The sequence below is a fragment of the Homo sapiens genome, chromosome 16, assembly GCF_000001405.40.
Source record: "Homo sapiens chromosome 16, GRCh38.p14 Primary Assembly".
Taxonomy (NCBI): Eukaryota; Metazoa; Chordata; class Mammalia; order Primates; family Hominidae; genus Homo; species Homo sapiens.
In genome coordinates, this window is record NC_000016.10 from 28,379,348 (window position 1) to 28,393,247 (window position 13,900).

Consider the following 13,900-nt stretch of genomic DNA (forward strand, 5'->3'; position numbering starts at 1 on the left):
TGCGACTACAGGCATGTGCCCCCATGCCCGGCTAATTTTTGTATTTTTAGTAGAGAGGGGGTTTCACTATGTTGGCCAGGCTGGTCTGAAACTCCCAACCTTGTGATCTGCCCACCTGGGCCTCCTAAAGTGCTGGGATTACAGGCGTGAGCCACTGCGACTGGCCTTTTAAAACACCCATTATAACTTATGTTACTATAATTTTCTGTTAAATGTCAAAAAGCAGCAGGCTCTTTGAGGTCAGGAACGTGTTCAATTCACCTCTTCATCTGAGCCTTGTGTCTGTCATGTGGTAGCAGCTCAGAAATATAATCAGCAAATGAATGGGCTCAACACACCTTTGTGGCAACAAGCAATCAACCAGAACAACTTTAAACAGACCTTTAGTGACTGAGGTGTGGTTTAGGACTTCAAGGTTGGATGGCCCAGGCGGGAAACAGAGTGGAGAGCTCAGTAGGCCGTCTGAGACTGCTGCTGGCGGTAGCCACCGCGGCGCATGTAGCCCTCGTTTTTGCGGTAGCCGTCCTTCTGGTCTGTAGGAGAGAGATGGGAAGGAAGGGCAGGGAATGCCAGGTGAGAGGCGGTGAGGGCACCAGGAGTGGGCAAGGAGAGGAGCCGAAGTACTCACCTCGGAAGTAGCCCCCGTAGGTGCCCTGCTTGTGGTCAAACACCCGTTCGTTGTTCTCCACCAGGCTGCCCAGCTTCTCGGCCAGCTGCAGAGCCAGGTTCTGCTGGGCAGTGGGCTCAGTGCGGTGCATCACCACTGTCTGTGTTGGCTGGTCCAGGGAGGCCTGACAGGCGCCAAGGCAGAGGAGGGGACACGACACAGATCAGGCCCCTCTGCTCCAATCCCTCCATGGCTCCACCTGCCCGCTTCCCACCCCGGCCCCTACGCTCCAATCCCTCCATGGCTCCACCTGCCCGCTTCCCACCCCGGCCCCTACCATCAGCTCCTCATTAATGATCATTTTGCTGATGATGGAGTGCACAGTGGGCAGATCCAGCTCAAACATGTCTGACAGCGTCTCCATGCTGGGAAGAAAGAAGGCAGAGGGCAGGGGCAGTCAGGACACTTGCCCACAAGGCTGGGGCCCTTCTGTGTCCCCAGGGCCCCGCCTACCTGATGGAGTCATAGACACTGCTGTAGGTGAAGAGGTAGGTCCTCAGTGACTCTTCCTGGATCTTCCTGTGGGAAGAGGGGACAGAAGACACAACAGGGCCTCAGGGAAGGGGACCAACCAGTCTCTTCTTCCCCGACCCATCACGGCCTCTCTGTCTGCTCACCTAACCAGCATGGTGCGGACTTTGTCAGCCTCGGGGAAAAGGTCCCACACTTTCCCATTCATCTTCTCATTGATGATAAAACTGTGACAGGTCTTCCAGTCACCCATCTTCATGGCCTTGGAGGCAGCGACCACATGTTCCCGCATGGACTCAGGGGGACCTGAAAGGGTGGGAATGAGGCAGGGCCTAGGGAACTTGGGACAAGTTCCATTAGCACTCTTTAAGGAGGAACAGAGGCTGGAGGAGCAAACCATACTAGAGACTCTCCCCGCCTCTCCACCAAACAGCCACGTAGTCGCCCAAGCCACTCCATCTGCACAAATGTTTGAACTCAATCAGTCCATAGATGCACTTCAGGGGACTGCCGAAACCCTCAAAAATGTTGACAAATTGTGCACATGTCCTCATGTACATTCTTCCTAGGAAAAAGGCCCATGGCTTTCATCAGATTCTCGTAAGCTTCCTTGACCTAAAAACACCTCTTCCAGCCAGGCGTGGTGGCTCACACCTGTAATAATCCCAGCACTTTGGGAGGCCAAGGCAGACGGATCATCTGAGGTCAGGAGTTGGAGACCAGCCTGGCCAGCATGGCAAAACCTCGTCTCTACTAAAAATACAAAAATTAGCCAGGCATAGTGGCACACGCCTGTAATCCCAACTACTCGGGAGGCTGAGGCAGGAAAATTGCTTGAACCCGGGAGGCAGAATTTGCAGTGAGCTGAGATCTTGCCACTGCACTCCAGCCTGGGCTACAGAGCGAGACTCTGTCTCAAAAAACAAAACAAAACAAAACCAAACCACCTCTTCCAGCTCAACTGGAATGGAATTTACCAACCCTTCCTCACTCACATCACCTTCATGAATGGTGCCATGCCCATGCATCAATTACACTGTTGCCAGCTTATTATTCTTCCAAGCAGCTCACTTCTTTTCCTTAAAAAACTTAGCCCCGGTCAAAATTATCTCTAAAATCACAAGTTTATATATTAATTATGAACTCAGGCCCCCAAATACAATCCTAAGACAAGCCAGGAAGGTAAGACATGGTACGCCATAGTAACTGGAATTCAGGGTAGACAAAGTGCAAAAGTTCTACGGCTAGAAATGGGTGGCAGACAGTGAAACACAAACACGCAGACTCCACAGCAAGAACGGCAAGCTCAATGCGAACGGGGATCAGGTCCAAATGGAACCATAGGAGCAGGGCTAAGTGTTAAGAGTGTAAGGAGAGGCACACAGCCCTCCTGGATGAACCTCCATTTTAACCATATTAACACTTGCAAAAGGCAAGGTTGGTCTGGGCGCAGTGGCTCACACCTGTAATCCCAGCACTTTGGGAAGCCGAGGTGGGCGGGCCACCTGAGGTCAGGAATTCGAGACCAGCCTGGCCAACATGAAGAAACCCCATCTCTACTAAAAATACAAAAAATTAGCTGGACATGGTGGCGGGGGCCTGTAGTCTCAGCTACTCGAGAGGCTGAGGCAGCAGAATCACTTGAACCCAGGAGGTGGAGGTTGCAGTGAGCTGAGACTGCGCCACTGCACTCCAGTCTGGGCAACAGTGAGGCTCCGTCTCAAAAAAAAAAAAAAAGAAAGAAAGAAAGAAAAAGGCAAGTTTAGGGGCTCAAAGAATATTTCTCTATAGGCCGAACAACAGTGCAGGGCTGATGGAAACTGGCTTTTGGAACCACTGTAGGGAGAAATTGAGAGGCAGGGACTGTGGAGAAGCAGACAGCCCTTTCCCATCGCTGCTACTTCAGCTCCAGCCAAGGCTAGCTCTGCAGGAAGGCAGGGCCAGGAGCGACAGACTGCCAATATTCTAAGACATGAAAATTCCGATTTTCATGGGAAATTTCCCCACAAAGTAAATCTCACTACATAAGCCAAACAAAATGTGCCTAAGGGAACCTGCCCTTTAGCCCAAACATATACATGACCAGGAGAGGACAAATCTGTAGGGGGATGTGGCTGTGGACACTGGGCTCAGCTCACTCGTCAAGCCCTCCTGTGGGCCAATGTCACAGGAAGGGCGCAGCTCAATTCCTTTCCAGTGAGTCACCACTCACTGCAACCCTGCAGGATCTGTCTTTCAAAAGGGGCCAAAGGAATCAACGTTAGCCTCTTGAACGATAAGGCTCTATGATAGTTGGTTTGGCTGGAATATAATGTACATGAAGGGAAGAAAAGGGAAAGAAAGATCAGAGGTACACATGAGCTGCATTAAACTCGGGCAAGTCACTTAACTACTCTGTGCCTCAGTTTCTCCACTGGGAAAAAGGGTATTACTAGTACCTACCGGCATAGGGTTATTACTAATGCAGATTAAATAATTATTTGTAAAACACTTAGCACAGTGCCAGGCAGAGGAGGTGTCATTAAATCAGATGGAGTCGAGTGGTGGGAGAGTTACTCCCTTCACTTCTCTTAATCCTTATGTGTAATCAGGGAGCAAGGCAGCCTGCTGAACCCTGGAGCTCCACACTCACCCAGCAGGGGCTGTCGCTCGCCCACGCGCAGCTGGTGGTGGAACTGCTTGCTGATCATGCGTCGGCGGGCATCGCTCTCATGGGCGGCCATGTAGGGGATCTCCAGGAGCATGGCAGACACCAGGTAGACACACTCCAGCAGCTCCAGGTTGATGTGCAGGTGGAAGGGGACCTGACGGCGCCGCTCCACCTTCTCCTGCTCCTGGTTGCGCTCCTGCAGGCTGCGCAGCAGCAGGCCCTGGCCCAGAAGCTCCTTGGCTCGGCCACTCGACTGGATGTCCAGCAGGGCGTTGTGTGCGTCCTTGGTCAGGCCTTGGCGGAAGGCACAGATGCCCAGCTGCACCATGGTGCGGTTGTAAAGGATCTGGGGGCAAAGGGTCATAATGCACTCAGAGATGACAGCTGCAAGACAAGTCTTCATTTATTCCATAACTAAGCCGGGTGCAGTGGCTCACGCCTGTAATCCCAGCACTTTGGGAGGCTAAGGTGGGAGGATCACTTGAGCCCAGGGGTTCAAGATGGGCCTGAGCAACATGGAGATACCCCATCGCTAAAGATAAAAAACAAAAACAAAACTAAACAAATCTACTTCAAGTGCCTACTATGTGCTGAGCACTAGGCTGGGGAGGGAGAGCAAAACAGACAAGTCCCCAGTCTGCATGGAGCTTATGTCTAGGGGTGGGGTGTGGTGGGCAAGAGAGCTGCACTACAAGGATGGTGACTCATGCTGAGAAGAAAAATAAAGCAGAGGACGGAGCCAGGAAGGCAGTCTGCGCAGTGGTGGAGGCTCAAATGTTCATATAACTACAGAAGGCCTCATTGGGAAAGAATGTTTGAATAAAGACCTAAAGAGAGAGCAAGTCATGCAGGCATCTGGGGAAAGAATATCCTATAAAAAGGAAAAATAAACGCAGTGATCCTGTGGAAGAACCGGGCCAGGCATATTCAAGAAACAAGGGGCGCAACACAGCTAGGGCTGGGAAAAGATGCCACCACAAGCTGGGGGATGGGCGAGCACCAGCCATTTATGAGTTTTTTTTTTTTTTTTTTTTTGGAGACGGAGTCTCACTCTGTCACCCAGGCTGGAGTGCAGCGGTGTGATATTGGCTCATTGTAAGCTCCGCCTCCCGGGATCACGCCATTCTCCTGCCTCAGCCTCTCCGAGTAGCTGGGACTACAGGCGCCCGCCACCACGCCCGGCTAATTTTTTGTATTTTTAGTAGAGACAGGGTTTCGCCGTGTTAGCCAGGATGGTCTCGATCTCTTGACCTCGTGATCCACCCGCCTCGGCCTCCCGAAGTGCTGGGATTACAAGTGTGAGCCACCGTGCCTGGCCTTGTTATGAGTTTTAAGACAAGAAACCATGGGAAGGTTTTGAGCAAACAGGTAATATGATCTGACATAACTGAACAGGGTTAATCTGTATTATGAACAGAACAAAGGGACTGAAGGGACACAAAGGCAGATGATGGTGGCTTAGAGCAGAGGGTACAAGCAGAAGTGACAGAAGTGTTCTCATAATGGACTGTAAACAGGAATGGCTGGGGAATCAGATACAGTATATGAGGGAAAAGTTCAAATCAAGAATGACTCCAAGGTTTCTGGTCTAAGCAACTGGGAAGAGGGACTTGGCACTAATTAAGACAGGGGAGACGGTAAGTGGTACAAATCTTGGGGGAAAAGGCTAAGTGTAGCCATAACAACAAAAATGTGGAGATCAATACCAGTCATAAGCTTACATGCAAAAAGCCTTAAAAATGTTAGCGACAGAATCCAGCAATATATAATATAAAAGAGACAATATACATGACCAAACTGGATATACTTCAGGAATAAAAGGTTGGTATAAAAATGTAATGAACTCGGCTGGGCGTGGTGGCTCATGCCTGTAATCCCAGCACTTTGGGAGGCTGAGGTGGGTGGATCGTGGGGTCAGGAGTTCAAGAGCAGCCTGCCCAATATGGTGAAACCCCGTCTCTACTAAAAATACAAAAGTTAGCCGGGTAGTGGTGATGTGCACCTGTAATCCCAGCTACTCGAGAGGCTGAGGCAGGAGAATTGCTTGAGCCTGGGAGGCAGAGATTGCAGTGAGCCGAGATCGCGCCACTGCACTCCAGCTTGGGTGACAGAGTGACACCCTTTTTCAAAAAACAAAAAACACACAATAATGAACTCACAGTTATTCATTATATGAATAGAATGAAGGAGAAGTAACCGGGTATTTCTTTTCTTTTTGAGACAGTCTTGCTCTGTTGCCCAGGCTAGAGTGCAGTGGCGTGATCGTGGCTCCTGCAGCCTCGACCTCCTGAGCTCAAGCAATCCTACCTCAGCCTCCTGAGTAGGTGGGACTACAGGCGTGCACCACTATGCCTGACTAGTTTCTGTATTTTTTGTAGAGACAGGGTTTTGTTATGTTGCACAGCAATGAAGATAGTATGGGACTTGCATAAGGACAGACAAAAAGGTAAATGAATGGGACAGAGGGAATGACCTGAAAAACACCTACTCTTATAGGTAATGTGGTTTTTCATATTGTTTTCCACAAAGACACCAAAGCAATACAATAGGGGAAAGGAAGTCTTTTCTACAAATGATGCTAGAACAACTAGGTATCCATATGGAGGAAAAAGAAACCCTGATCCCAACCTCAGCAGATGCAAAAATCAAACCAAGACCAACTATAAGACTAAATGTAAAAGCTAACACCCATAGCAACTTACAAAAAAAAAAAAGAGAGAAATTTAAAAAGTCTTCATGAATTTCAGTTAGGCAAAGGTTTTTTAGACAGGATCCAGAAAATAATTACTATAAAAGAAAAAACTGGGCCGGGCGCAGTGGCTCATGCCTGTAATCCCTGCACTTTGGGAGGGTGAGGCGGGCGGATCATGAGGTCAAGAGATCGAGACCATCCTGGCCAACACAGATACTAAAAAATAAAAAAAATTAGCTGGGCATGGTGGTGGGCGCCTGTAGTCCCAGCTACTCGGGAGGCTGAGGCAGGAGAATTGCCTGAACCTGGGAAGCAGAGGTTGTAGTGAGTCGTCAAGATCGCGCCACTGCACTCCAGCCTGCCGACAGAGCGAGACTCCGTCTCCAAAAAAAAAAAAAAAAAAAAATTCTGACACAGGACTAGCTATCCAGGATAGATAAGGCACTCCTACAACTCAATAAAGTGAACAATCCAATTGTTTTAAATGGGCAAGAACTGACTAGATATTTATTATTTCATGAAAGATAAATGGCCAATAAACATAAAAAAGTAAAAAAGTAGCCAATATCAATAGTCACCAGGGAAATGCAAACTAACACCACAATGAGATACCATTAGACAACCAACTAAAATTTAAAAGACCTTTGAGTGGCCGGTTGCGGTGGCTCATGCCTGTAATCCCAGCACTTTGGGAGGCTGAGGTGGGTGGGTCACCTGAGGTTCAAGACCAGCCTGGCCAACATAGTGAAATCTTGTCTCTATTAAATATACAAAAATTAGCCTGGTGTGGTGGCACGTGCCTATAATCCCAGCTACATGGGATGGTGAGGGAGGAGAATGGCTTGAACCTGGGAGATGGAGGTTGTAGTGAGCCAAGATTGCACCACTGCACTCCAGCCTGGGCAACAGAGCGAGACTCTGTCTCAAAACACACACACACACACACACACACACCCCTAAAAGATACACACACACACACCCCCTAAAAGATACACACACAACCCCTAAAAGATACACACACACCCCCTAAAAGAGACACACACACACCCCTAAAAGATCTTTGAGACCAGCCTGGGCAACATAGTGAGACCCTGTCTCTACAAAAAATAAAAAATTAGCCAGGCATGGTGGCACATGCCTGTAGTCCCAGCTATGGTGGCACATGCCTGTAGTCCCAGCTACTATGGAGGCTGAGGTGGGAGGATCACTTGAACCTGGGAATTTGAGGCTACTGCGGGCCATGATCATGCCACTACACTCAGTCTAGGTGACAGTGCAAGACCCTGCCTCAAAAAACAAAAACAAAAAAAAGTTTAAAAGACCAATACCACCGCCGGCATGATGGCTCACTCCTGTAATCTCAGCACTTTGGGAGGCTGAGGCAGGCAGATCACTTGAGGTCAGGAGTTTGAGACCAGCCTGGCCAACATGGTGAAACCCTATCTCTACTAAATTACAAAAATTAGTCGGAAGTGGTGGCGGGCACCTGTAATCCCAGCTACTCGGGAGGCTGAGGTAGAATCGCTTGATCCTGGGAGGTGGCAGTTGCAGTAAGCCAAGATTGCACCACTGCACTCCAGCCTTGGCGACAGAGCGAGACTCCCTCTCAAAAAAAGACCAACACCACCAAAAGTTGACAAGGAACTCCCAAACACTAGCAGGAGTGTAAAATGGTATAACCACTTTTGAGTTTCTTACAAGAATGTTCACAGCAGCTTCATACATTAGAGCCAAAAACTGGAAATAAACTGGGTGTCCGCCAAGAGGAAAACAGACACAGTGATATGTTCATACCATAGAATAGAAACACAAACAGGAGGGCTGTTTAAAAACCAGCAGTACCCCCAGACAGGTTCACCAGGTGCTCTACACATAAACATTTCCTAGTTGCCTCAAATATACTTTTACATGATCTACACTTCCAGACACAGCTTTTTTTTTTTTTTGAACAGTCTTGCTCCATTACCCAGGCTGGAGTGCAGTGGCACAACCTCGGCTCACTGGAACCTCTGCCTCTTGGGCTCAAGCACTACCAAGCCTGGATAATTTTTTTTTTTGACACGAAATTATGTGTTTACATGCAGGAGGACTGCAGGATGCTGGCAACTGGGAAAGACCAAGTGTCTACTTAAATTTGCACCGGCCAGACAGGTGGCTGTTCTGGTTAAGCCAGTTTGCCAAGAGGCCAGGGGCCTGGCACTCCTTCACCTCCAAGGCCTCCCCATCCTACCTGCACTGGCGGGTCTGCATGCTGAATGTTGTCCTGCAAGTGGCTCATGAGCATGAGGTCGCGGGCCTGGTACCAGCGCGAGTGCAGAGCATGGTGGTAGATGTGGCAGAGGATGGCACATGTGCGGATCCGGTCTGTGCGGTCCTTGGCGTAGATGTACTTGCACAGTCTCTCCATCAACACAGCCGAGTCCTCGCCCTCATTTTCTGCCTGGTCTTGCTCAGACTGGGGAGGAAGGGAGGTTATTTGCAAAGGAGATCCAGCTTTAAAAGGCACAGGCTCTAGCAACTAAAGATGAGACTCTATCCAGTCTCATTCTAATACCTCAGTTTCCCTCCCTGCTCCACCTGCGGAAGTCTAGAGAGTAACAGATTTGCTGTCAAGTCCTGACAGAAGTGGAGGACAGGTGGACACACCCATTCCCCTCTGCCATGACTGCCACGTGCTCACCTTTGAGGAGCCCTCAGGCGGGGTCAGCTGTCGCTGATGGGCCTTGTAATCAAACTTGTAGTAGGTGTGCAGGATGCGCAGCAGGTAGATGCGGCAGACCTCCTCGGTAGTGCCCTTCTCCTCCAGGTAGCGCTGCACACGCTCGATGATGGCACACACCTGGGCCTCATCCTTCAAGTGCTCCACGTACTCTGGCAGGGAGAGCACCCACCCTTGTCTCAGCTGGGCAGCCAGGCTTTCCCATCTGTCCCCACTCATTCCAATCAACCCGTCCCTCTTCTGCACCCGTCAGAAAAGTCTAGTCAGTGTGCCCCAGAAAGGCCATCTCCCACTCCCAGGACCCAGAACCTTCCAGTCCCACAGCTTAGGAAAAAAATCCCAACTGCCAACCTCTGCCAATAAGGGTCTGCCAGGCCTGGCCCTTGCCTGGTCTCCCACGATTCTCCCTCTGGCTTCCTGTGCTGGAGTCCCACTGGCCTTTTTACTCCTGGAACATCAAGCTCGCTCTCTGCTCCTCCTGTCAGGCGCTGTCTTCAGCTGATTCTTCCCCTAACTCCTCCTCATTGGATCTCACCTCAGGTGGTCCCTACTTAAGGGTGCTTTCTCCAGCTGTTAGCTACAGCAGCCACCCCTCCAGCCACTTCTTACCACAGGGCCCTAGTTTAACTCTGAACTTTATATCATCTAGAATTATTATTATTATTTTTTGAGATGGAGTTTCACTCTTTCGCCCAGGCTGGAGTGCAGTGGTGTGATCTCAGCTCATTGCAACCTCTGGCCCGCTGGGCTCAAGGGATTCTCCTGCCTCAGCCTCCCACATAGCTGGGATTTACAGGCACCTGCCACCATGCCTGGATAATTTTTGTATTTGAGTAGAGCCAGGGTTTTGCCACGTTGGCCAGGCTGGTCTCAAACTCCTGACCTCAGGTGATTCACACACCTCGGCCTCCCAAAGTGCTAGGATTACAGGCGTGAGCCACTGCACCTGGCCCAGAATTATCTTAACATCATACTATTTTTTTTTTTTTTTGAGATGGAGTCTTGCTCTGTCGCCCAGGCTGGAGTGCAGGGGTGTGATCTCGGCTCACTGCAAGTTCCGCCTCCTGGGTTCATGCCATTCTCCTGCCTCAGCCTCCCAAGTAGCTGGGACTATAGGCGCCCAGCACCACGCCTAATTTTTTTTGTGTGTGTGTGTGTATTTTTAGTAGAGATGGGGTTTCACCGTGTTAGCCAGGATGGTCTCAATCTCCTGACCTCGGGATCCGCCTGCTTCGGCCTCCCAAAGAGCTGGAATTACAGACGTGAGCCACCACGCCCGGCCATATCTTACTACTATTATTTTTCAATCTGCCTTTCTCCATCCAGCACAAAAGGTAAGCTTTTGGCTGCCTTGTTAATCACTACACCCTTGACTTGATGGGCACATTCACACTTTTACTGAGTAAACTATGCTGCACTTTCACACCCCAATGCCTCTCATCCAAGCTAAACAAGAGAAGTGAATAGATGCCTTACCCCAAAGGTTCTCAAAGTATAGCCCTGAGACCAGCAACCTGGGAGCAGGCTAGAGGTGCAGGTTCTCAAGCCCCACTCAGACCTATGGAATCAGAAACGATGGGACTGGGAGCCAGCATCTCATCAGGCCCTTCCGTGTGAACGCTAGGTAAGTTGAAAGGCTGGCTTTTCAAGCACTCTGACTTAGTATAATCCTCACAAAGCTCTAAACCTAGTAATATTCCCCACAATTTTCCTCTCAGCAAAGCCCACGCTTGCTCAGGCTCACCTTGGGAGTGAGGGTCAGTATTTTGCATTATTTTGGTAAATTCTTCATCCATTCGTTCCACCAGAGTTAGGATGCAGCCACGGACACGCAGTGGCTGAAAAGGAAGGCGAAGGAGGAGTCAACAAATTAGCCCAGATCTCAGTCTCAAACCTCAACCCTCGGGTCCCACTGAGCCTTCCCAAAGCATAAAATACACACCTCCAGTTATCCTGCCAACTCCTCCCTTTACCTGGTCAGCGTTGTGCAGGTTCTCACTCTCTTCCAGAATATTCTCTCCAACAAAAATGTTGGGATTTGCAAACAGGATATCCATCAGCTCATTGATGCAGTCCAGGCACTTCCCCCACATCTCTGGCTGCCAAGATTTCAGGCCACATCAGAGTCAGAGGTGTGAAGGTAGAGTAAGCGGATGCCTCCCCCTTCAGCAGGAATCATGGGGCCTTCCACCACCAAGACTGCCTCCATAGCCCCTGAGTCTTAAGATGCTAGGTACCTTCTTCCCCCAACCCACCAGCGATGCCCTGAGATGAGCCTCTTCACTGCTCTCACCTTCATGTAGGTTGCCAGGTTGGGGTTGTAGTCATAGAGAGAGGCGATGATATTGAACTTGATCTTGACAATGACGCCCTCTCCCAGGTTGTTTTCCGCTGCAATCTGAACCAGCAGTTGCAGCAGCTCAATCTGGGCAGCACTAGAGGGCCAGAGAGCTGGGTGAGGCTTTGGAGACAAATCACAAAGTCTCTCCCAGCATGCCCGCTTCGGATAACGCGCCCTCCTCATCACCCATATCCCTGCTTCTCCTTTATAAATTCCAAACAGAAGCAACAATAATCCCAACCATCCTGGAATGCTGTGAAATGCTTCACACCTACCACCATCCTCTGTTACCTAATAACTAAAGAAGGTAAACACTCTTTTACTTTTTTAATCTTAAAAAAAAAAAAAGCCAGGTGTGGTAGCTCATGCCTGTAATCCCAGCACTTTGGGAGGCTGAGGCAGGCGGATCACTTGAAGTCAGGAGTTCGAGACATGGTGAAACCCCATCTCTACTAAAAGTACAAAATCAGCCAGGGATGGTGGCGGGTTCCTGTAATCCCAGCTACTCAGGAGGCTGAGGCAGGAGAATCGGTTGAACCCAGAAGGCAAAAAGGTTGCAGTGAGCCGAGATCGCGCCAGTGCACTCCAGCCTGGGCAACAACGAGACTCCATCTCAAACAAAAAAAAAAAAAAAAAAAAAAAGAGGAGAACATTATCTCATTGTATAGATGGGAAAACAGATCCAAAACGTTAAGTGATTGGTTTTAAGTCACAAGAAGAGTAAACAGCAGATAATGGACGGGGATGCCCCAAGCATACAATTCCCTCTACTACAGCCACACACAGACCCTCCCAACAATCCCTTCCCCCAACCTCCACCCTCTGCCACCCTGCAATCCCACTGCCCAGGCCCACGAATCTTACCGATCAGTTCCCTTCTTGCCTCGTGCCTGTAGGATCTCATTCAGTTTCTTGATAACAACAGCATGGGTGATCTCAGTTCCCTTGGCAAACATTTTTGGCTTCTCCTGTATCAGTACATATCCCGTCATGTACATGCCAGCGGGAAACTGTCCTTGCCTTTTCCCCACAAGGGGACCTTTATGTCCTCCCAAACTGTTCCCCAATTCATTTTACCTCTGAAACCCTCACCTTAACCAACGGCACTCCGCCCCGGACCCTTTCCCACTCCCCGCCTTCATTGTCCTCCTCCTCCTCCTCATCCAGGCGCTTGGATTTCCTGTCGTGCTTCTTCTTAGCTTTGTCCTCCCGTTTCTTCTCGGCTGCCTTCTTGTCCTCATCTGTGGTGGGTGCCCTGCCGACAGACATGGGAGAAGATGACAGATCAGCCCCTCCCCACCTCTAAGGCTTCTTCCTCCCATCAACTTCCTCTTTTCCTCCAGCAGCTCCTGGGTCCAAGTTATGCTCTACAACAATGACCTAGAGGGCACAGTGAACCATAACCATAGCCATCTCTAACAAGACAGAGTACTAACCAGGCCACTGTAGACATATTAATAGAAACAACCTGTCAGCTAAGCATGGTAGATCACTTGATGTCAGGAATCCAAGACCAGCCTGGGCAACATGGTGGAACCCCATCTCTACTAAAAGTACAAAAATTAGCCAGGCATGGTGGTGCACGCCTGTAGTCCCAGCTACTTAGGAGGCTGAGGCACGAGAATCACTTGAACTTGGGAGGCAGAGAAGGCTGCAGTGAGCCACAATCATGCCACTGCACTTAAGCCGGGGTGACAGAGCAAGACTCAGTCTCCAAAAAAACAAAACAAAACAAAACAAAAAAAAACCAACCTGTCATTTTGCTCCAAAGCTAACATCTACAGTTTTCCAAAGAATCCACAAACAACTTATTTTCTTTGATACCAGCTGCTTTCTCCAGACTGACCAACTAATCAATGAATCAGTTCCCCCAAATATATAAAAACATTTTTTTCTTTTTTACTATTCCTAAACTGTTTTATCGCTTTCTCTCCTCTCTTGACAACCGATTAATCTAAATTCTGAATTTTAAAAAAATGTTCATTACAAAAAAGGTCCCCACAAAACAGAAAAAGATCACCAGCTACCTTAAAATGGTCTTAGGCTACTGGATGTTGCCTGAAACCATCTCCAGACTTGAGTATGTATTTATGTAACAAAATACAAACCAAATGGCAAAGACAAATTACTTCAAACTTTGCACAGATACTGAAGAATAAATCTTTCCAGAAAGACTCAACATTTTTGAAAACTCATATGTAATAACCATAATCTACCATTTGAACATTTATAAATAAATTTCATTTTCACTGCTTAAAAGGTTTGAATATGTTTTTGGAATAGTCTATAAGTTTACCAGTTAAATTAAGTCTTCCCTTGCCAGAAGACCAATGCCATAACTCTCAACAAAAGTGTATGGA

General features: G+C 48.9%; 1 protein-coding gene and 1 non-coding gene across 7 annotated transcripts in view; both read right to left on the bottom strand.

Annotated features, from left to right (window-relative positions):
* Positions 1-233: 233 nt before the first annotated feature.
* Positions 234-13,900, bottom strand: part of EIF3CL (eukaryotic translation initiation factor 3 subunit C like) — a 46,838-nt gene continuing 33,171 nt past the window's right edge. For 4 of the 6 annotated variants that reach the window (XM_047434558.1, NM_001099661.2, NM_001317856.1 and 1 more), the window contains 13 exons: positions 12,633-12,795; positions 12,405-12,508; positions 11,493-11,634; positions 11,173-11,298; positions 10,944-11,037; positions 9,161-9,351; positions 8,711-8,935; positions 3,771-4,134; positions 1,285-1,444; positions 1,121-1,186; positions 945-1,032; positions 629-791; positions 234-533 (listed from right to left, as the gene is read on the bottom strand). In XM_047434558.1, coding sequence (XP_047290514.1) covers positions 451-533; positions 629-791; positions 945-1,032; positions 1,121-1,186; positions 1,285-1,444; positions 3,771-4,134; positions 8,711-8,935; positions 9,161-9,351; positions 10,944-11,037; positions 11,173-11,298; positions 11,493-11,634; positions 12,405-12,508; positions 12,633-12,795 — 1,969 coding nt within the window. In that variant the 3' untranslated portion in view covers positions 234-450. Of the gene's footprint in view, positions 534-628; positions 867-917; positions 1,033-1,120; positions 1,187-1,284; positions 1,445-3,770; positions 4,135-8,710; positions 8,936-9,160; positions 9,352-10,943; positions 11,038-11,172; positions 11,299-11,492; positions 11,635-12,404; positions 12,509-12,632; positions 12,796-13,900 lie in introns of those variants that run through there. The other 2 variants (NM_001317857.2, XM_017023620.3) reach the window with 2 other exon arrangements.
* On the bottom strand, positions 11,635-11,704 carry MIR6862-1 (microRNA 6862-1). Its single transcript, NR_106922.1, has one exon. It is a non-coding gene; the product is annotated as a microRNA 6862-1 (primary transcript).